This window comes from Homo sapiens, chromosome 7, assembly GCF_000001405.40.
Source record: "Homo sapiens chromosome 7, GRCh38.p14 Primary Assembly".
Classification (NCBI taxonomy): domain Eukaryota; kingdom Metazoa; phylum Chordata; class Mammalia; order Primates; family Hominidae; genus Homo; species Homo sapiens.
In genome coordinates, this window is record NC_000007.14 from 25965535 (window position 1) to 25989575 (window position 24041).

The 24041-nt window shown below is 42.0% G+C and overlaps 1 long non-coding RNA gene across 7 annotated transcripts in view, besides 2 other annotated features; it reads right to left on the reverse strand.

The window, feature by feature from the left end:
• LOC105375199 (uncharacterized) overlaps window positions 1-24041 on the reverse strand; it is a 191528-nt gene that overhangs the window by 26273 nt on the left and 141214 nt on the right. The gene's annotated exons all lie outside the window — the stretch shown is intronic.
• Window positions 2514-2573: an enhancer, noted in NCBI's record as "active region_25775". NCBI's record gives its function as "activates an Ori minimal core promoter by ATAC-STARR-seq in GM12878 lymphoblastoid cells {active_cell/tissue: GM12878}" and the evidence as "EXISTENCE:reporter gene assay evidence [ECO:0000049][PMID:35858748]".
• Window positions 3024-3463: an enhancer, noted in NCBI's record as "active region_25776". NCBI's record gives its function as "activates an Ori minimal core promoter by ATAC-STARR-seq in GM12878 lymphoblastoid cells {active_cell/tissue: GM12878}" and the evidence as "EXISTENCE:reporter gene assay evidence [ECO:0000049][PMID:35858748]".

Below are 24041 nucleotides of genomic sequence, written 5' to 3' on the forward strand. Positions count from 1 at the left end.
TGAAGACGGATATCTTAAATAGTGCCTAACTATGTTTGTTTTGGCAGATACGTGGGTGACTCTCGCATTGGCAGACATCCATATCCGTATTTATGGCAAATATGTCAGCATTTAATCCATCCCAGTGTCTGTGAAGGAATCAACAATTACAAGTTATCGTCTCTCTCTTATTATATTGTTTTACTTCTTTTCAAAGACTGACACAGAAATTGCCATGAAATGGAGAATAATCAATCCTCAGTAGAAAATAGAATACCAAATCTTACAGCTCGGTAGATGGCTGGTCTATGTAATCTTTGTTTCATTTCTCAGCTCCTCTTTGAGTGACTCAGTGTAGCACCCCACAATTCAATATTAGCAAGGAGGTGTCATTTCACAGGAATGACTGCTATCATTGGGAGGGAAGGTCCATAAACTAGATTTCCTACTGATGACATCAGCAATTCTGTGACATTTAAAGAAAAAGAATTGAGTACCATTTCCAAAAGGGATGAGTACCTTTGAAGAAATAATATTACCCTTATTTTAACTTCCATGCTTCAGTTCATCCCTAACAGATAGGTGCACTGAGGAACCTGTATCTGTAATGTGAACAATATACCTCCTTTAATATCAGTCCCAGGTGAAATTAAACCAATCAGGAAGCGCATGACAATATCTCTGATATTAAGAGTCAAATGGTGTCTCAAAAACAACAATCTTTTGTGATTGTTGTTATTCCAGCGAATTGGCAATTTACAAATAGGTTGTGTCCAAAAAAAATTCACTAATATATTTGGAATATAGAGTGTCAAGTACAAGTTCCCATGTATGCAGTATTACAAATGGTATTCCCAAACCAGCCCATAGACACCCATTTCATTTATATCTTGCTGATGGTGTTGGAGAAGACAAAGAAATATGCAGGATTCAAAAGGTAGAGTTGGCTTTGGAAAGACAATCTGTGGCACAAGATCCCAAAACAATCTCCTTATAATTTCTACCACTTCCAGAAAGAAGGAAGGAAGGAGGAAAGAAAGGAGGAAGGGAGGGAGGGAGAGAGGGGAGCAAGAAGGGAAGGAGGGAAGGAGGCAAGAGAGGGAGGAAGGGAGGAAGGAAGGAAAAAAGAAAGAAAGGGAAGGAAGGGGGAGTGAGGGAGAGAGGGAAGGAGGATAGGAAGGATGGAGGAAGGAGAGAAGAACAAAGGGAAGAGTGGGAGGGAGGGAAGAGAGGGAGGGAAGAAGGAAGGAACAGAAGGAAGAAGAAAGGGATGGAGGTAGGTTGAGAAGGAGGAAAGAAAGACAAGAAGTCTCTAAGATGACCTCCAATTATCAACACCTCCTGGTATTCATACCCTTGTGTAGTGTCTTCTTGAATATGGGCTGGCCTTATTATTAACTTCACTTGTAGCAAATAGAATACAGAAAAAGAGATCAGATGCCACTTCCAAGATTGGGCTATAAAAAGGCAGTGGTTTCTGTCTCGGGCTTTCTCTCCCCTTCTCCCTTTCTATAACCGCTTGCCTTGGTGGAAGCTAGCTGCCACATCACAAGGGTGTCCTGCAGAGAGGCCACATAGCAAGGGGCTGAGGACCACCAAGCAAGTGATCTTGGGGATGAAGCCCCCTCACAAGTCATGCTTTCAGATAAGACCAAAACCCTTACCAACAGCTTGACTGCATGAGACAACTTGAGCCAGAGGTGCCCAGCTAGGCTGTGCCCAGATTCCTTACTTACAGGACCTGTGAGCTCTTAAATGCTTATTGCCTAGGTTTTAGAGTAATTTGTTATGCAGCAATAAATAACTAATTGGAAGGAAGGAAGGAAAAAGGGAGGGAACAAGGGAAGAAGAGAGGGAAGGAAGGGAAGAAGGCAGGAATAACCATGTCTGCCATAATCTAGCCAGGGAACAGAAACCACTCTGAGTATTTTGGTTGCTCAGGAGACAACAAAGCTGAGCAGTTACTAGGAGACGGTGACATAACCCAGAGATGAGCAGGGACAGGAAGCTATACTGCCCCTAAAGTGGAGGATCAAAGGAGGAAGCAGTGTTACCAGAAGCCAGAAGAAGCCAGGTCACCCTGCAGAAGCTGGAACCACAGGGGCCTGATTGGTAGGAGCTGGAGCTGTAGATGCCATTCAAGACAGGGAAGGGCAAGGAGAAACATTGTGGCTTCTCTCTTCTTCTCACCATGCAGTTCCCATTGGTGCCTTCCATTGGCCAAACCCAGCCAGAAAGCAGCTGACACCGGATCCTAAGAAATAGCCCACAAGGGCCAGCCTCCTGCATTACACAGCACAGCTGGGAAGGAATGGCCTCACAGGCCAGGCCTGGCACACTAGCTAACTAGCTAAAGAGAAGGGAAAATATCTATTGCCAGTCCTCAGCAGATTCAGCCAGAAGGGACTGCTTATTAGCTCTGTGAACAAGGACCATTCACAATCTGCATGAAAACTCAAATTATGAGATGACAAAAATAACTACCAATCAACAGTACCCCTTGATAAACCACAAGGTAAATCATGACACTTGCCAAATGAGTCCTCCAGAGATGGGAGGGAACACGACGGCCTGGGACTGGCTGGGTTTGGGAACTGGAGAGAAGGAAGATCAGGTTGAAGTCAGGGCTCCTGGGTCCCAAGGGAAGAGGAGGTGACAGAACCCATGTCAGAGGGAGCAGAGCAAAGGAGTGAGGCTAGCCAGCGCGGGCGCCACGTGCGGAGACACACAGGTGTTCCACTGGGTCCAACACTAGGTCTTCACAGTCAAAAGAGAACTGAAACGTGAGGGTAAAGGGAGGGTAGCCGGTATGAGTGACTGGTGATCTAGGCAGGAAGCCAGGCTGCAGGGCATTTAATGAGTGGGTGCAATCACGTGGTAGAGTTTGACAGTGAATGGAAAGACAAAAACAAGCTTGCGGCATGGCAGGTTCCCGCCAAGGATCTGGTTTGAAAACAGAGGAAGAGAAGGTAGAAACTAACACCAAAGGCTAAGAACCTGCACAGTAAATTGCCTATCAGTCTTCCTCATAGCCTGCAAGCTACTTGAGGGAGGGATTTGCAGCACATGTGTCTCACTCAGTTTTCTGAGGGCCTTGGATAGTGTCTGGCCCATAGTAGGTGCTCAATGCATGGCTGTGAGATGAATGAGTGAGCCAAAGTGAAACCACAGAACGTCATGAGGGCAGGAGAACGAGGCAGAACCCACGGAAGATGCTCTCAAGTGATGTGGCGGCGTGGTGGCCTGCTGGAAAACCCCAGCGGCGGCCAGACCCGTGTGGGCAGCTGCAGTCAGAAAATGAGATGGTTCTTTCTGAGCAAATATGCAGTTATAAATAGCACAGGCTACGCAAATCGCCACAGCTGCATGGCAAAGGACTAGAGGGTGCGCTCAGCACAGAGGACGTTCCCGGCCACCAAATTCCTTCTGAACTATCCCCGCCATCAGCAGGGGCTGCTGCCCAGAGGGGAGACCCATGCCACGAGAGAGGTCAGCATTGCCTTACGTCTTTATAAGGCTGCTCCTAAGGGACTTGCCCTGAAGAGCCTTATGCTTCAAAGCCCACTCACCTGTAAAAGTGTCCCAACCACTGAGCTGGTTCCACAAAGGCATTAAGAAATTACCACTATGGGCTGGGCACGGTGGTTCATGCCTGTAATCCCAGCACTCTGGGAAGCCAAGGCGGATGGATCACCTGAGGTCAGGAGTTTGAGACCAGCCTGGCCAATATGGTGTAACCCCGTCTCTACTAAAAATACAAAAATTAGCTGGCCGTTGTGGCGCACACCTGTAATCCCAGCTACTCGGAGGCTGAGGCAGGAGAATTGGTTGGCCCCAGGAGGCAGAGGTTGCAGTGAGCCAAGATCACACCATTGCACTCCAGCCTGGGCGACAAGAGTAAAACTCAGTCTCAAAACAAAAACAAAAACAAAAACAAAACAAAACAAAACAAAAAAATACACTATGTCAAGTTATTAGGTAACCCATAACATCCTTTGTTTTAACATAGCCTTGCCAAGGGCCGGGCACAGTGGCTCACGCCTGTAATCCTAACACTTTGGGAGGCTGAGGCGGGCAGATCACTTGAGGTCAGGAGTTCGAGACCAGTCTGGCCAATATGGTGAGACCCTGTCTCTACTAAAAATAAAAAAATTAGCCAGGCGTGGTGGTGGGTGCGTGTAGTCCCATCTACTTGGGTAGCTGAGGAACGAGAATTGCTTGAACCTGGGAGGTGGAGGTTGCAGTGAGCTGAGTGAGATCATGCCACTGCACTCCAGACTCGAGATACAGTGAGACTCTGTCTCCAAAATATATATACATGTACTTCTCTAAATTAAATATTGAAATAAATTTTAAAATGCCCGGTTCATGTAGTTATAATAATAATACTAATAACAACAACTACTGCTACTACTACTACTAACATGTGTTGAACATGAACTAAGTTCCAGAAACCATGCTAAGCTACAAAACGGTGGACACACTCCCCTTGCACACCCTGTGGTAATTCAGTCCACACTCAGAAACTGCTGTTGGTTCAATGTTATTTATATTTATTTATTCTGCACCTTCTCCCAAAGACTTGAGGTGATCTGCAAGAATACATACATCAAAATAAGGTTTTTTTGTGTGTACAGGTCGAGTATCCCTAGTCTGAAAATCTGACATTTTTTGAATGCTGACACAATGCCACAAGTGGAAAATTCCACACCTAACCTCATGTGATGGGTCACAGTCAAAATGCAGTCAAATCTTTGTTTTATGCATGAAATTATTTAAAATACTATATAAAATTACCTTCAGGCTATGTGCATACGTGTATATTAAACATAAATAAATATCATGTTTAGGCTCGGGTCATATTCCTAACATATCTCATTATGTATATGCAAATATTCCAAAATTCAAAACAATAAAAAATAAAAACCCTAAAATCCGAAACACTTCTGGCCCCAAGCACTTCAAATAAGGGATGCTCAACCCACATAAGTGTCCTGGGACTGCTGTAACAAAGTGCCAGAGGCTGGGTGGCTTAACAACAGAAATGAATTATCTCCTAGCTCTGGAGGCCAAAGTCCACGATCAAGGCTATGGAAGGGCTGGTTCCTTCTGGATGAGCTAAGGAAGGATCTGTTCCCAACCTCTTTCCTTGCTTTTGGCTTGTGATAGCATAATTCCAGTCTTCACATGGCATTCTCCCTGTGCACATGTCCGTGTCCAGATTTCTTCTTTTTATAAGGATACCAATCACATTGGATTAGGGGGTCCACCCACCTCCAGTGTGGCCTTATCTTAACTGATTATATCTGCCACATCCCTCTTTCCAAATAAGGTCACATTCTGAGGCACTAGGGGGTGGGACTTCAGCATATGAATTTTGAAGGGATACAATTCAACCCACAACAAAAAGTAAAAATCTCAGCAAACTGAACACATACGTTCATCTAGTCACTCTCCTAAGACCTCACTAAGACTACAATAAAAAGTTACTACTCCACATGCAGAAAGAGGCTCCAGGGAAGACAGTAGTAAACAGGAGACGGTGGATGGGTAGCCAAGAGAGGAGCGGTAACTGACCTGGCAGAAAAGAACAAAGTTACAACCCAGGCCCAATAAAATGTAAGCCAACTGACTCCTCAGAGCCCTGGAGACCCTGCACTGGGAGACGCCAGATGCTAGGGGAGGCAGATGTCAGGCAGGAAGCCGGACACAGACATGGGTTTCACAGGCTTTATTCAGAAGCATTGGACCTCCTCCCCACCACATACAGCCAGAGGACAGGGTTTCCCAAACAGCCTCCTAAAAGACTCAGGAGATTTATTTTTGGATGGGTTGAAAGGAGAGACTCAACCTAGAAGACACCAGCCTTATAAGAGCACTGGAGTAGGGGGTAGGCATGAAGCTAAAGCCAGGAATATGAAATGAAAGCCCACAGAGCCATGAGCTGTGGGCCCCTTCTCCTATCTAGGTCTCAGAACATCAGCAACAGGGAATATCAGTACAGACAGGAGGACTGGAAGACCTGCACTGCAGACCCAAACAGTCCAGAGGTATATCCTGTGATGCGCATATTTAAGGTTCTCCCAACAAAAAGCTGGCACCCACCTGGTTATCCTCTTCCTACCAATCAACAATTCTTGCCCTTGTTTACAGAACGTCAAGTGAGCTTTTAGCATCTTATTCTTAAATATGAAAGAACAACTAGACACTTGGTGAAAGCCTGTGACCTGAAGACACAGACTGAGCAAACAAGGGGACCAGGAGGAAAGAGAAAATGAAAGGAATCAAAGAACATTTTAAAAAATATTTTTAACTAGTATTCTCAGAAAGATAAGGAAGAACAGAATTCAATAAAAAGAGAACAACTGGAGAACATGAAAGGACTCTTGACAATTACAAATATGATAAAAATTGAAACTCATTCAGAATATTAGAAGATAAAGGCAATAAAATCTTTTAGAAAGTAATACAAAATGTTTAAGAGTCAGAAAATAGGAAAGAAGAGATAAGAACATTTAAAAATCAACCTGGGAAGTCCAATATCTGAATAATAGGAGTTGCAAAATAGAGATAGGAGAAACAGAGGGAAGAAAATTATCAACTAATAATAATCAATAATAAGAGAAAATTTTCCAGAATGGAAGGAAACATGCCTCCAGATGGTAAAGGTCCACTGAGTACCTAACATGACAAATGGAAGACCTAAATGCTCCCAGAAAGATAACACAAGCCACATAGAAAGTACTGGGAAAGAGAATGACATGACAGGTAAGATAGCACAGTGGTTAAGAACATGGATTCTGGAGCCAACTACCTGGGCTTGTAACTCAAATACTAGTTGTGTGATTTTGGGTAAGTTACTGAACCTCTCTTGCTTCAGTTTCTTCATTTCTAAAACAGAAATAATAAGACTACCTCCCACTTATCTGGCATAATGGATATAAAACACATAAAATAGAGCCTGGCCCATAGCTCATGTTATAAAAATGCTGACTTTTTTCCTCAGACTTCTCAACAGTAACATTGGAAGCTAGAACCCATGGAGTAATAGCTTCACATTTATTTAGAGGAAATATTTTCAAATCTAGTATTGTATAACAACTAAGCTACAAATCAAATGTGAGGGTAGAATAAAGACATTTTCAAACATACAAGGTATTTAGAGCTTGATTTCCCTTATATTCCTTCTCAGGAAGATACTGCTGGTTTAAATAAAACCAGGCAAGTTGAAGACATAGAATGCAGACAAGAGAGGACTCAAAAAGAGACGAATTCATTAGATGATAGTAAAGGGAGGTCCCAGGATAACAACTATGCTTCAAGTATGCAGTCTCAAAAATGGAGGACCGAGGGCTCCAGAAGACAGACCTCCAGGGGAAAAAATTGGGTAGATATATGTGAATATATAAAAAATATTACTGGCCAGGTATCGTGGTTCATGATTGTAATCCCAGCACTTTGGGAGGCCAAGATGGGAAGATCGTTTGCACCCAGGAGTTTGAGATCGACCTAGGCAATATAACGAGACCCCCATCTCTACAAAAAAAAAAAAAAAAAAAAAAACTTAAAAATTAGCTGGGTGTGGTGGCATGCACCTGTAGTCCCAGATACTTAGGAGGCTAAGGTGGGAGGACTACTGGAGCCCAGGAGATGGAGGCTACTGCAAGCCATCATCATGCCACTGCACTCCAGCCTGGGTGACAGAGTGAGACCCTGTCTCAAAAAATTTGCAAAAAATATTATTGATAGGCAAGTGACAGAGATATAGAGCACTCAAGGAAAATTGTAATGACACAGCAAATTAGACTGATTAAAAAATTAAGCAGGTTTTAACTCCAGGAAAAACAAAGGGTGGACAAGAACATGGTTTATTCATTGTTTGCTCAGAAGCAAATAATATTCGTGTAGTCAAAATCATGTAAATGCTAACTTTTGAGTTGCTTGATTTAACTAAAAACTGTGATATAACTGAGTTAGGGAAATGGGGAGTGGGGAAATGGTAAAAAGGCAGTGGAGAGAGCTCAGTCCTCATTTACCAAAATGGGAAGTCAATAGTTAATATCTAAAACTGAAATTTAAAAAATAGCAAGATGGGCCAGGCGCGGTGGCTCACACCTGTAATCCCAGCACTTTGGGAGGCTGAGGCTGGTGGATCACGAGGTCAGGAGATTAAGACCGTCCTGGCTAACACAGTGAAACCCCGTCTCTACTAAAAGTACAAAAAATTAGCCGGGCGTGGTGGCGGGCACCTGTAGTCCCAGCTACTCTGGAGGCTGAGACAGGAGAATGGCATAAACCCAGGAGGTGAAGCTTGCAGTGAGCCCAGATCACGCCACTGCACTCCAGCCTGGGCAACAGTGCAAGACTCCATCTCAAAAACAACAACAACAACAAAAAAAGCAAGATAAGCATATAATTTCAAGACATGGACATGAACACCTGGGGATGCAGCCAAAGAGTTACAGTGGGACTGTTGGGGTTGGGGAAGGCTGGGGCAGGAAACTCCTAGTTTTGCATTATAAATATTTCCTTGTAGTACTATTTGACTTTTTAAACCACATAGATGTGTTATTTGGATAAAAATTAACTTTTAACTTAAAAAAGAAAGAATAGTGGGAGGTAATTCAAAATATTAGTAGTGGGTATATGTGGATAGTGTGATTACCAGTGATGTGAATTCACTCCATATTCTTTTTTTGTCTTGTCCACTGTTTAAAAAGTAATATGTGTTAACCTTACAATTCAAAAAGTACATTTTATTTTTTAAATACAATCAGGATGAAGAGAAAAAAAGAAAGGTTATATAGTTTGACACAGGTTAAAAAGTGATTTTCAAAAAAGGCAAAATTATGATTCACACAAAAATATAAAATGAACACACATCAAAGATAAATTAAGTGAGAGAATCAATGAGATATTACAGCTTATTCAAAGAAGTCAAAGAACTACAAATTTGCATACAGTAAAGAAATGTTGAAATGAATTCACAAAAACTAGTTTATCCATAAAGCAATAATTAGTTGCATTCTGCAGACAAAGTATGTATGTTTCGATGGACAACAATTACTTGCGTTGCTATCAGTTCTCTGTAACTTTTCCAGGGAGTTGTAAAATCAACAGGGTTGCACACTCCTATAGGATCAGATAATTCCCCAGAGGCTCCCTTGAAAGGATACCCAGTAAAGATTTTTGTCCATTTGAATGTCTTAAATTTCTCCTTATGTATAGTTAAGGGCTAATGAGTTAATGCAATCTTGTGTCTTAAAGTCCTGCTGGTTATTCAGTAGTGGGAAGCAAGTTTAGTTTGAATTCCTAGAAGCAAAAGCAAAAAGGGAAACTAGTTATAAATTTATTGGAGTGCCCAGTGGGGTTTAAAATACTTTGAAGCTGAAAAAGTTTCATTTCATTTTAAATTGCTTGTAATTTTTTTCTCTAGAGGTAAAAAGAGATCAATGCACCTTTATAGCCAGCTTCCTTTATTTGGGGGAAAATTACCAAAATGATCCCTCTATTTATAGAGCAATAGCCACCCGTTGCTCTTAGAAAACCCTATGAGGATGCCATTAACTCAAGTGCAGTTAGGTTAAGCGATGTGTTTAGTACAGGAAATTGGGTTTATTTTAAGTAATATCATGTTCTTGGAGAGTTGTTTTCTTTTTAATTCTTCTTAATTATTTTCTATAGGGATTTAGACTAGAACATCTCTGAAAATTAGTTTTTGGGGGGAGATATGTGTCTTTTTGAACAAGTATTTGCTCCTAAGAGAGAGAAGACTGGATTTCCCAAAAAGCCTATGAAAATCTGAGCTCTCTTATGCTAGACTGTGAAAGGGGGCTAAATTTGTCTGAACTGAATTATAGGAGCCACGTACACAGTGTTTTTAAAAATAATCCAATTTGGGGAAATATACTAGCAATTATTGAAATTCCCTTCTTCAAGCTGGCAAAGCCAGACCAAACACTACAGGTGTGGATTTCCTTGTTCCTATTGTTAATCATTCTGGTACAGTCTGTGAGCAGAAGGGACAGAAAAGATCAAATTTCGCCTTCCCAGAGCAAAACTCAGGAATTGTGTATTTTTCATATGTAAAGGAAAAATGTGAACTTGAATGTCTATTAATGAAGGATTGGGGGAAAAACAACAATTATAGCACAGTATATCCAAGCAATGAAATACCATGTAGACATTAAAAAGAATATAGAGGCCTGGCACAGTGGCTCACGCCTGTAATCCTAGCACTTTGGGAGGCCAAGGCAGGAGGATCACCTGAGGTCAGGAGTTCAAGACCAGCAGGGCCAACATGGTGAATCCCCGTCTCTATTAAAAATACAAAAATTAGCCGAGTGTGAGGCCAGGTGCCTGTAATCCCAGCTACTCGGGAGCCTGAGACAGGAGAATTGCTTGAACCCAGGAGGCAGATGTTGCAGTGAGCCTAGATCATACCACTGCACTCCAGCCTGGGCGACAGAGGGAGACTCCATCAAAAAAAAAAACAAAAAAACAAAAACAACAACAACAAAAACAAATATAAAAGGTATATATGAACTGATTTGGAAAGTCACATATGGTTAAGTGTAGGAAAATTTGTTACACAACACTAGATGAGAGTATAACCCATTTTTATGTTCATTTGTTCATTCATTCAACAAGTATTTCTTAAGCATTTCAATGGGTTAGAAATACAACAGCAAACCAACCAAAGTTCCTATTCTCATGGAGTGTACTTTGTAGTGGAGAGAAACAAACAAGAAACAAATACATATATGACGTTAGTAAAGAAAAATGGGGCAGGCCACTGAGATAGATATTTTCGAGGGTGCTGGTGTAGATCAAGTAGTCAGAGGCCTTTCTGACTACTCGATAAAATGACATTTGCCTTGAGACTACCTGAATACATATGTGCATTTATGTTATGTATATAATTATTTCTGTTAGGATTGTGTTTGGCACTATGTAACAGAGAACAACTGCAGTGGCTTAAACACCTCAGGTTATTTTTCTCACATTGAAAAAGAAGGCGGGGGAGAGCTGGTGCAGCTGCTCAAGGAACAATTACCCTCTATTTTCCCAGACTACTATCCTCCATGTCTGGTCACAAGATGGCAGCTGCCATTCCAGGATTCACACCCACACTTCAGGCAGGGCAAAAGGGGAAGGGCAAAGCACAAAAAGGCACAGACCAGCTACCCCCTGCCCCTTTTTTAATGAGGAAAATGATAGCATTTTCAGAAGGCCTTCCCCCAATAGACTTCTGCTTACCTTTCATTGGCCAACACTGTGTCACATGATGGCTCCTAGCTGCAAGAGAGCCTGCACACTTTAATTTCTCTGTTGAGCACATGCTGCCTTGAATGCAAGCTTGAGTGTGGGCAGGTATTTGGCAGTGTCTGTCTCATGAGTGCATTGAAGGCTAAAAGAAGGTACTCCAAATAGTTAACAGGGCTTGTCTCTGGGGATAGCATTTCAAGTGATCCCTAACCTTTTCCTTTATGATTGCTATCATTTGCAGCTGTATCATTCTGTCTGATAACAAATCTGGAATCTCTGGTCCCATCTCAGACCTACTGAATCAGAAACTGTGGGACTAGTAATCTGCAGATTTACTAGTTCAACAGGTGATTCTGAAGCTTGGGGAGGAGAGGGCTGAGAACCAGTGCGCAATACCATTTAAACAGAAAAAGAAGATATTTGCGTTTTGAGAGGAAAAATTATGACAAGTCAAGGATCTCATTTAAGTGAACAAGTGTTTTTCACAGTAGAACTACAAATACAGCCTAATTAATCAATGTGTCAAGCGTTTCTTCTTTCTTTTGAATCATTAGCATTTATTCAGGCCCTTAGCAGTAATGGTTTGTCAAAGCTGACATTCAGAAAAAGTATAAAAAAGAAAAAAAAATCAGCCTTGTGTTTTGATTAATTGCCATACATCTTTCTTATGTTTCATCTCCCAAATTTACAAAGATTTGATTTGGTTTATGGTAAACTTTTTTTTTTTTTTTTAGACAGAGTCTTGCTCTGTCACCCAGGCTGGAGTGCAATGGCCCTATCTCTGCTCACTGCAAGCTCTGCCTCCTGGGTTCACGCCATTCTCCTGCCTCAGCCTCCCAAGTAGCTCGAACTACAGGTGCCTGCCACCGCGCCTGGCTAATTTTTTTGTATTTTTAGTAGACACGGGGTTTCACCATGCTAACCAGGATGGTCTCGATCTCCTGACCTCATGATCTGCCCGCCTCAGCCTCCCAAAGTGCTGGGATTACAGGCATGAGCCACCATGCCCGGCCTGTTTATGGTAAACTTTTTAAAGAAAAGTAAGTACTTCTCTTAACAATATGCTGCATAAAAGATTAATTATTTTTTCTTACCACAGGATGCAATTTTAGAATCCGAGAAACTATTCTACCCTTTAAATCTTCAAGAATCCAGAAAGGGGAAAAAAAGAATAGGGAGAGGAGGTGGGAGAAGAGAGAAGCCAGTGTCAGATGGGCAGGCTCGGACCACGGACTTGGACTTAAAGAACATGGCAGCTGACAACTGCAAACTATTTTCTATTTTCCTTCTCCTTGAAATGATAAGTGGGCAGGGAAAGAAAAAGGGAGGATGATACAATTTTGATTGGGTAATAAAGGCAATAGTGAGATTAATTTTTAGGCATTACCAAATGCCTAGTAATAAAACCTGTGTCTCTCAGCACCAAGAAGCAGGTTTTTCTTTTTTTTTTGCTGGTGTATAAATACCATAAGAATTTTAATTTCTTCTTTTAAAAAATATATTATGTAGCTGAGGCTTAATTAGCAGATGTATAAATGATCATGGAAAACTTGCAGCACCTGAAATGACATTTTACTAATTTGAAAATATATTGTCTCCAGTCATTATTTACAGAAAAACAAAAACTTTGTTGCTTTTGTCTTGCAAAACTTTCAGGTCTGTAAGCATATCCTGAATTAATTCATTATAACCATATATGTAAGAGACTAACAAGCCCATTACTCAAATTTTGTGAATCAGAAAATGTTACCCAGAGAAACGGTATGTATGTAATAAAAAATACTAGAATTTGACATACAATTTTAATGGTTGGCTCTTTCTCATTGAGATTTCACACCAAAAATGGATGACAAACTAGGATCTGAGTCAAAGCACAGATGTCCGGGGATGTCAGCCAGCAGGGAGGTGGCCAACTTTATGACACGGATCTTCTGAGGATCAATGAATCTTAGGTCACTAGTATGATCACTATCATACACTTCACAAATACAAAAATACTCTCAAAAAATTCTGTGGTTGCAAACATTTTTGTGGAAATTATAACTTTCGGTTCTTGCTTATTGCCATCGTTTTTATAAAATAAAATATTATTCTATATTCGCAGACATTTAAACTACTGAGCGAGACTGCTGACAGTACTCTCAAATATTGCCAAACTTGAGTAGACACAAGCAAAACAAGCCAGGAGAGTCGAAGTTGGATAAAGTAAAACTAAAGATGCTTCAATATAGAGAATCACTGGAATCTCTCCAATGCCAGATGAAAAATACCTAAGTATGAATGAGCAGCTTTTGTCTTGTAAGTTAGTTTTATACCTCTTTCTGTCATTTGAATGACTTAATCATTCATAAAGAATAGATCAATCAGCAGGAAAGTTTGAAGAAAAGAGAATCCCAGAGACAAATGCTAGGTGTGTTCATCCTAACCCTTTGAGAAACAGCTACCCAAGGGCAGCCAGCCAACCTTCATATTTCAGTATGTGGGTTTTGCCATCAAGTAATCTGCGGGGGTTGGAGATTTGAACCTCCCATCTTCAAACTGCTACCTATGGTGGGGCTTTTATTGGCCCCTCTATACCTCAATATCATCATCTGTAAAATAGGAATAATAATAGTTCCCATCACATAGGCTAGTTGTGGGGATGAAATGAGATACCATAACCTAAGTGTATTAGAATGGTGCTTGGCATGTGGTCAGCACTTAATAATATCAGCTATTATTATTACAATTCCTGTATAGTTATTTCAACATCAAATGTTGCTTTTGAAAAAATACAATCTAAGTATTGCATTTGAATGCTTCACACAGTTGAATATTAAGTTAAAATCATTAGAGTTTAATTTTTTAAATGATGCTCTCCTGTGGGGCCACTGAGTCTCTTGAGCATACAACACCACCACCACCACCCAACCCTTTCCCTGGTGGATTTCATGGAATCTGAAAGACAGAAATAGAACACAGCTGCTATATGTAAGTTGGGGAGGCCAAGGAAGCAACATACCTACTGTGGCAGACACACCCTAAGGTGACCTCCAATGAGTCACACCATGTATAAGCCCCTCCTCTTCAGGACGGGAAGAACCTGTGACTATATGTCACTGCCATCATTGGAAAGAGAGAGAGAGTAAGCAAGAAAGAGAGCAAGAGAAAGAGCGTATGAGCAACTCCATCTGGAGTCAGAGAGAGACAGACTCTCTCCTGAGCCTTGAAGAAGCAAACTTGCACATTGTGAGCCACCCATGGAGAGGGCCTGGAGGCAGGGACCTGTGGGCTCCTCCCGCTGAGAGCCAGGACGAAGCCAGGACCGTCCATCAAGCAGTACCGAGAAGCTGAATTGTTCCAACAACTTGCATGAGCTTAGAAGCCGATTCTTCCCTAGACCCTCCAGATGAGAACACATTCAAGGCCACACTTTGATTGTGGCCTTGTGAGACTGAGTAGGGGACCCTGTTAAGCCATGCCTGGACTCCTGGCCCACAGAAACTATGAGATAATCAAATTGCCTCTTAAGTTGCTAACTATGTGTGACAACTTGCTGCACAGCAGTAGAAAATGAATACACATGCCTTCACCTATGGTTCCTGTTATGGGTTGGATAGGTTCCCCAAAAGATGTTGCTGTTGTAAGCCCCAGTGCCTGTGAATTGGACCTTATTTGGAAATTGGAATCCTATCACAGATGATCAAATTAAGATAAGGTCATTAGGGTGGGCCCTAATCCAATTTGACCGATTCCCTTATAAGAAGGGGAAATTTGGACACAGAGAGATACATCAGAAGGAGAATGATGAGAAGGCCTAAGGAGAACACCGACTCCAAGACACAGGACACCTGCAGCTTCCAGAAGCTAAGAGAGGCATGGGGCAAATTCTCACGGCACTCAGAAGGCACCAACCTTTCCAACACTTTGGTTTTAGACCTAGCCTTCAGAACTGCAAGGCAATCATTTCTGTTGTTTAAGCCACCCAGTCTGTGGCACTTTGTTTTGCCAAACCCAAGCAACTAATACAGTTCCCAAAGGCAAGATGCTGGGAAGGGTTGCTTTCCAGTCATGGATGGAAAAGGACTGAGAGGAGCATAAAATTCATCCATGCATGCATCCATCCATCCATTCAATAGACACAGAGCCTTTACTTTGCCAGGTGTGGCACTACACAGTCACCAGGTGCCAGGCAGGCCCTATGTGCTATGCAGTGAGGTTACAGAGATCAAAGCACAGCCCTTGCCCTCAGAGAGCTCGCCATCGAAGGGAAAGAGGGTACAGCAGGTGTAATATGGTTTGCCACATGCTAGAGCCCAGGACACACAGAGTGTGGGGTGCTCACAGGAGAAACACTTAATCTCTTCCTGAGAGAGGTAAGGAAGGTCCCAAGAAGAGAAACATGGAAGAGGGGGTGGAAGAAGGAGAAGGGAGAGGGTGGTCTGAAGACAGGGACTCACATGGAGTCATAAAAGAGCAAGGACATTCTAAGAACTACTCGCAGTTCCACGTGGCCAGAGCCAAGCGGTCATGGGAATGAGGTGTAATGTGCTAGTGTGTGCCCTGCAGAAAGGTCTGAACTGTATCCCAAAGGCTGGGGCAGCTGCTGAGGAGCCTGATGGAAGTCAGCAACATGACTGGATTCAGGCAGGACTGGGGCAGAGGGTCCTGCATCACGGCCATGGCAGAGGAGATGCGTTCCAGAGATACTTAGGAGGCAGAATTGACAGAACTTGATGAGTGGCTGTATTGGAGAATTGAGGAAAAGAGAGGAGTCTAGAATGATTCCCATTTCTCCTGTTGACTAAGGAGGTGGTGGTAACTTTCCCCAAGCAAGGGGATATGGGAAAAGCTATAGGTTGGAAGGAAGATCAGATCACTTGTCAGCCCAGCAGCCATTGCCCCTCTTTCCCTTTGCTAAGACAGCCCCAATTTTGTTCGCTGTCCTCTAGCGGGGCGACGACATCAGGGGAGGCTGGACCCTCTCTCTGCACCCAGGCAGACAATCTCATTAGGCCTAGACCTGCACTATCCAATATGGCAGCCACTGGCCACTTGTGGCTATTGCCCACACCGTCTAGCAGCTAATTCAAACTGAGATATGCTGTGAGTGTTAAATACACACTGGATTCCAAAGTATGGTTGAGGGGGGAAGAATGTAAACATAAAATTAATAATTTCTTATTTAGTTATATGTTAAACTAACGTTTTGGATATATTGGGGTCAATAAAATACATTATTAGAACTAATATCTGTTTCTTTTTTTTTCTTAAAATATAGCTGTTAGAAAAATGTTTATTATATATCTGGCTCCTATTACATTTCTACTAGACAGCACAGGTGTAGTAAAAGTTTTCTTCCTTTTCCTTGCCTCTCTTACATGCTTTAGACATTGGCCAGAGTTCCCAGCCCCATTCCTTCACCAAGTAAAGGGTTTAGGTAAGGGTGTGAGCACGATGCCATTCTGGCCAATGAAAATGGGGGGTTGGCAACAAGTTTCTGGGAGGGCTTTTCTTTTTCTTAAAATGAAATATGAGATAGGGAGGGACATTCCTTTTTCTGCTATGGGTTTTGTTATCCCATTGCACTTCCTGGAGCAATGGCAGCTATTTTGAGGCCTTGAGAATAGCTGGCTTAAGAAAATGAACCACAGAAAAGATGGAGAAAAACTGTGTCCTTGACAACAAAATGGAATCCATGGATTTTTGTGTTAAACTTATGTTTTTGTGTTAAATAAATTAACCTATTGTTAAAACTGAGTTTGTTGGATTTCCTGTTACTTGTGACAAAAAGCATCATAACTGGCCCTTCTTGAGAAAGCAGTGTCAGAAGCCTGTTAAATGAGTGTGCGTTATTCCTCTACTTCACCGATATTCAAGTTTTTCTCTGAAAAATTAGGAGAAAATTGGAGAAATATTTGGGTAATTCTTTTGTAATTGATTCTAAAATGCCACCCTCTTTCATGCCTGTGAGGAAAAAAATCGTCAGTGGCTGCAATGGCCTTGGTAGGATAACACTTTTTCTGATTAATAATCTACTTTTTGTTCCCAATCTGTAAATAAGGATTAGGCCTGGGTCAGGAAATAGAGGATTGATTCATTCCTGTAGTAACACACATGTAGTTCTCTTGAGTTCTATAAACAGTGGGAAGGAAGCCATTTTTCTGGCCACCTGCCAGTCTCCAAACCATGCTGAACTTGGTTGTCAGTGTCTTTGAAGGCAGCTTTATGTGGCTTCATGGAGACAGGAGCTTGATGCGATAATCACAGTCTGCTCCATTTGTGGAACCCATATTAAAAATATCAATTTCATAGATCTTTTCTCTGGTGTTTGATTATATACTAATATGAAAATTTTGGTGTATATGACCTTGACCCACCAATCAACAGCTTTATTCATCTGTCCTCCCAAAGGTCTAAATATAATAAGCAGCCACCCTCAGAAGTGAGAAACACTGGGAACTCTGGCCAATATCTAAAGCATATAAGAGAGGCAAGGAAAAGGAAGAAAACTTTTAAAGCAGCATTGGCTACAGAGAAATTTGGGAGCGTGGAAGTAGAGAGAAAACAGAAAAAGTGTGGGAGCATGGTGTTGAAGGGACCTTTGAGGTCCCATGGTCCAGCCCCTTCCCTTAAACATGAGGTAATGGGGCCAGAGCGGGACTCTTGGCTCCTTCCTTCCGCATGCACTGAATGCCAGCCATGAACCATTCTCTGCCAAACACAGGACTATGAGGATAGGAAGATAACCATGCTCCTGCCCTCCTAGGGCTCTCAACACGAGCTGGTACAGAGTCAAGATCAAACCCAAGTTAGGGATTTTTTTGTTTTGTTTGTTTTTCCTGCAAAATCACTGCCCTTCTCTATCCCAGATATTAATCGGTACTGGCTCTCACACTAGTTCTGCTTTATATCTGTGCTTGTGGGGTTTGCTCACTATTAGATTAAGAAAATAAAGTGGTAAAACTTTGCTCAGATGTTTTTCTAAGGTCTTTCTCTCTCCCTCTCTCTCTCCCTCCTTCCTTCCTTGCCTCCTTTCCTTTCTTCTTCCTTCCTTCCAGCATATATTATTTCCCTGTGTAGATTTATGATTCTTCCTCACCTTGACCTTGCAACCAACGAAGACATTTCTTGGTTGGAATCACAATCCAGACAGAACTATTGCAAGCCTAGGATTCAAGAAGTAAGTGCCATGCACCACCCCGTTCTCATATTTCTCTGAAATGTTGACTTGCAATGTAGCTATCCTTTAGAGAAATAGGAAATAGGGCAAATTGGCATCCTTTGCCCCACCTGGAGCCTGGATTAATACACTGAAGTTAGAATGGCTGAAGGGGAGAAAGACCCAACACATTTAGAATGATATCCAGAGATGGCCCTGGGCACGGTGGCTCATGCCTGTAATCCCAGCACTTTGGGAGGCTGAGGCAGGTGGATTGCTTGAGCCAAGCAGTCTGAGACCAGCCTGGGCAACATGGTGAAACTCCATCTCTACTAAAAATACAAAAAAAAAAAAAACTAGCTGGGCATGGTGGTGGACACCTGTAGTCCCAGCTATTTGGGAGGCTGAGGTGGGAGGATCCCTTGAACCTGGGAGGCAGAAGTTGCAGCCTGGGTGACAGAGAGAGACCCCATCTCAAAAAAAAAAAAAAAAAAAAAGGGAGGTCAGCTGTCAGGGAGGACTCTCTCTCCCCTCTCCTCCCCTGGCCTTACATTCCACAGTCCCTTCTCCCTGAGTCCCAGCCCCAACCAGCCACAAAAAAGCAGGTCTGGGACTAAAGCACTGAAACCCTGGCCCAGGAGAGTTGGACAGGGCTGGCACATCTGAGGCAGGAGTGGCCAGTGACGAAAGGAGGATGGCAGGATCAATAGGGAAGGGGAGAAGAAGAGAAAAAGAGTGAAGGCCGGGTGCAGTGGCTTATGCCTGTAATCCCAGCACTTTGGGAGGCCGAGGCGGGTGGATCACCTGAGGTCAGGAGTTCGAGGTCGAGGCAAACATGGTGAAACCCCGTCTCTACTAAAAATACAAAAAATTAGCTGGGTATGGTTGTGGGCACCTGTAATCCCAGCTACTTGGGAGGCTGAGGCAGGAGAATCATTTGAACCCGGGAGGCAGAGGTTGCAGTGAGCCAAGATTGTGCCATTGCACTCCAGCCTGGGCAACAAGAGTGAAACTCCGTCTCAAAAAAAAGAGTGAAAAGAAATGTTTTCCCTACAGAGGCAGTGGGGGCATCAACCTGGATCTTCTGTGTGCCTCACCCACCACCACATTGTACCCACCAGCCAGATCTGTGTGCTCTTCAACAAATTCCAAACCAATCACTTCCTCCCTCCACCCTGTCCAGTGCACCCCCATCACCCATTTTAGGGCCCTTGCCTCCTAAATGGTTTCCTGACTTCCACTCTTTTCTCCAGAAAATTCACTCTTCAACAAGCAGCCAGAATGGTCTTTTAAACCATAAATCAGATCATAAGAACCCCCAGCAGCTTTTCCACAGCACCAACAATGCCTGTGTGATCTGAACTCAAAGTTCTTCCCTGACCTTAGATGTTTCCACTTGTCCCCCAGCTCACTCATACAGCCACACTGGCCTTCTTTCTGTTCTTTGCACAGCTAATCACATTCTTGCCCTAAGGCCTTCGAGCTTCCCGAGCTTCCCGTTCTCTCTGCCTGGAATGCTCTCCCTGCAGCTCCTGCCATGACTGTCTCCTTCACATCCCTCAAATTAGTTCAGCGTAAACACCTCCAGGCAGCCTTTTCTGACCACCCTGGGCCAGCCTCACTCTTCACCTTTATACCACTCACAGCTATTTGAAGTTATCTTGCCAATTCTTTTTTCTTACTTTTTTTTTAAGTCTGTTTTTCAACAAGACTGAAAGTTCTAGCACAGCGCAGAGATTGTGCCTATCTTGTTTGAGACTGTATCCACAGAGCCTAGAACAGAGCCTGGCACAAGAGTAAATGCTCCATAAATGTTTTGTTGAAAGAATGAGTGAGTAAATGAAGAGATGTGGGGTTGCCCCAGGAGTCCAGAATGAAGACCCCAGAGTGGGTTTGCCATTTTACACATAAAAACACAGTGCACCCAGTTATATTTGAATTTTGGATAAATAATGAATGCATGCAATGCTAAATAAGTATATGCCTCAAATACTGCATGCATTCATTGCTTATCTGAAATTCAAAGATAACTGGATGTCCTGTATTCTATCAAGACCTATTAAGGAGCTGGTGTGAGTTAAACAGAGCAAACACGACCCTCCAAGTTCTTTGCCTCATAGACCCTTATGGGTTGGAACAGACATGAACTGATGTAAAGAGCTGTTTTGTTCTTTCTTCTGGACTTCATGCATGTGCATGTTCAGCTATACTAAGGTGGTTTTGTTAATGGGTTTACCACCCCTCTCTCCTACCGCTAAGAGTACAGAATGGAATAGAGTGCAGTGAACACAAGAGCGAGGGAGCACACACAGCCACAGGAAGGCAGGACTTGTTTCAGAATGACACAACCACCCCAGGCAGCCCCTCTGCCAAGGAAGAGCTGTCCCTGCTCAAACCCTTTCTCATTGCACAGGAGAAAAAGGAGGCTTGATCATAAATGTTGGCAAAAATTGAATAATTAAATAAATTAAATTTTTACTTGGACTTTGCGATTGAAAGAAAGCCCACATTCTCACAAAAATATCTGCAGTTCTTTTAGTCTCAAAAATACCAAATCTAGCAACTTTATAAGTAAACAAAGTTACGTACATTCCAGTGTTATCTTGGTATGTCCATAAAATGGGTTCACATGTGTAAAGTGCATTTTAAAAGCAGTATATATTTCAATTTCCTCCAAAAGTTTAGTCAAAGGAATTTTCTTTTCTTAAGCCATGGATTCAAAATCTGATTCTAGAAATCATGCAGATGTACTGAGAAGTGGTCTGGTCCAGAAGCACAACCTCCAGGAAGTTGTGGAAAGGCCCTCAGGGGAAAGGGACTTTTGCATATCAAACAGGTCAGGTCCAGTCCCACCACACTGAAGGAAAGCAAAGTATGAGATGCTCTGTGTTGCACTCTTTAAAAGGCTGCAGTGGGTCAAGTTCATCCCTAGAGCCCTGGCACTTCCTCCAGAGAAAGCCCAGAGTCCTTATGTGTCCTGTCAAATTTCACATAAATGACAAATACCTTTGATGAATGCAAAATAGAATATTGTTAAATATATACCTCGGTTGTTTTACTTGTTTTGTTTTTGAGGCCAACAGGGCTACTAATTAGCAACAGCAATTTTTCCTTGGATTGATATAGCCATTTCCAAGGATCTCAGAGCAATTTATACATTTTATCCCATTTTATTCACAGTAACTGTCTAGGTAGGTTGGGTTTTGGTATTGACATCCTCTCCTTGAAATTTTGTGGACTGGGCAGGTGCCTAAAAAATTTAGTAATCTGCAATAAATTAGAAGCAGAAAGTCTTCTCTTACCCAAAACCAACTCAATACTTCAGCTGGCAATTAAAGGAGATACAAAGGTAATAACATTCATTGTACTTACCTACCAACTGTATCAAACATCCACCCTTTTCCCATTAGCCACATTGTTACACATTTTATATGTGTAACAATATATATATTCCCAAAGAATCTGTGATGATTGTAGAAAACACAAAGAAAAAAATATATAAATGTTCAACTAAATATATAAAATATTTACATATATAAACAGTATGCAGTGCTTTTTGTTCTTGAATCTAACAACATAGAACTTTCTAGAGCAGAGGCTTAATTTGTTTTATAGGCTTATAGGATCAACCTATAAAACAAATGAGCATGCTGATTAGTACTGAGAATAGGGACCTCAAAAACTGAGCTTACAGATTCTGGCTGAATGAAGGGATGATGCAAACAGAGATTAGACCCATCACTAAAAGCAAAGCTTACAAGTCATTGTTATTGCCATTACTTTTAATGGCAAGAACCACAATTACTTTTGCACCAACCTAATATATGCCAACGTATACTATCTTTTCACTGCATGGAAGATGTCCAGAGCTCCTGCTCGGCAACTTCACAGTGTTGAGCCTCAGCATTTGTATTGGGATTCCTGTGACAGCTCATTTTGTTACCATTAACCCATCTCAGCATTCTCATATCATCCAGCATTTTCTCCAGTAAGCCAAAATCCTATTTCTGGTTAGCTTCCAGATAAAAGGTATAAGCATACTACAGTGCTGAAGTCTATTCCTGGAAAAGAATTGTTTATCAACCAAAATTTTGTGAATTAAACCATATTTTAAATGGATAAAGTGAAATGAAAAATAAGGAGTTTGGTGGGGAGTCTACTGTTTTAAAAAGCCCAGCAATAAATTTTTTAAACCTACATGTCATATAACTTTTTATATTTTCTTTGATTTTTTAAAATCATAAGTAATAATAATGCACACTTATTTAAATAAGCCAAATAATACAGAGAGGTACCAACAAAAAGCTAATAATCAGCTGTAATCCCAGCTCACACCTGTAATCCCAGCACTTTGGGAGGCTGAGGCAGGAGGGTTACTTGAGCCCAGGAGTTAGAGACTAGCCTGAACAACATAACAAGACCTCATCTCTACAAAAAAAATATGAAAATTAGCGGGGCATAGTAGCATGTGCCTGTGGTCTCAGCTACTCAGGAAGCTAAGATGGGAGGATTGCTTGAGCCTGGGAGGTTGAGGCTGCAGTGAAGCGTCATTGCGACAATGTGCTCCAGTTCGGGTGACAGAGCAAGAAGACCCTGTCTCAAAAAAACAGCTAATAATCTTCTTACCAACTCCCTAATATTTCAGCTGCTATTTTCCCTCATGTGATTAATATTGATGGTTGGAGGCAGATTCTTCTACACTCTTCTCACAAAAATATATACAGACATACACATATACTCACTGAGTTTTTGATGGAATTGCAGCTCTTGTTTTCATTCTTATTATAACCAATTAGATTATACACATTATCCTTTATTTTTTCTGTCACTTAGCAAGGTAGAACAGATATCCCTCAGATCATTACATATGGTTCCATCTCACTGTTTAGTAACAGCCATGGTTATCAAATATTTACATAGTGTAACTATATAATGATTTGCTAACCATGCCCCTTTAGATGGATGTTCCATATTTTTCTTTTTCTTTGTTTTTCCTGCCACAAACCAAGCTGCAAGCAGCATGCTGGTACCGCCTTGCCTGTAGGACCAGTGACTCTTGTGCTTACATTCAAAGTTTAGATTTTTGCATACTAATTCTCCTTGAAAGAATTAGAAGCTAAGACTGTGTCATCAGAAGATCCAAGTTTTGTAGCCTGCATTATATAAACAGGAAAAGTCATCGCCTGTGCCTCAGTTTCCTCATCTGTAAATTAATAGAGAATAGATATCTGTTGGAGTAAACTACCATCTCTCTCTCTCTTGCTCTTTCTCTCTCTTTTTCACGCATGTTTTTACATCAATTGAGCTGAGTGCCAGTGAACCCTGAGCCAGCTTTCTGTATAACTAGAGCAGCAGCTGCTCCTTGCTGGAGGCAGGAAGTGTTTGTCCTGCAGGCCTTTGATCATCTCGTAGCCTTTCCACACTGGGAACAATTTTTTAACCATCTGCAGGCTCCGTAACCGGTTTGTGAACTTTCACTCTTCTGTAAACTTACAGAGTTGTATAAAAGTATGAACATTCAGCCTGAAAGCCATCTGAGCAACGGAGTCCTTTATAAAACTGCAACCTACTTATTCAACCCCAAAGGTGAAACTCCAGCAAATGTTTGTATATTTGATGAGTGCAAGCACGTAGGGTGTCAAGATGCCAGAAA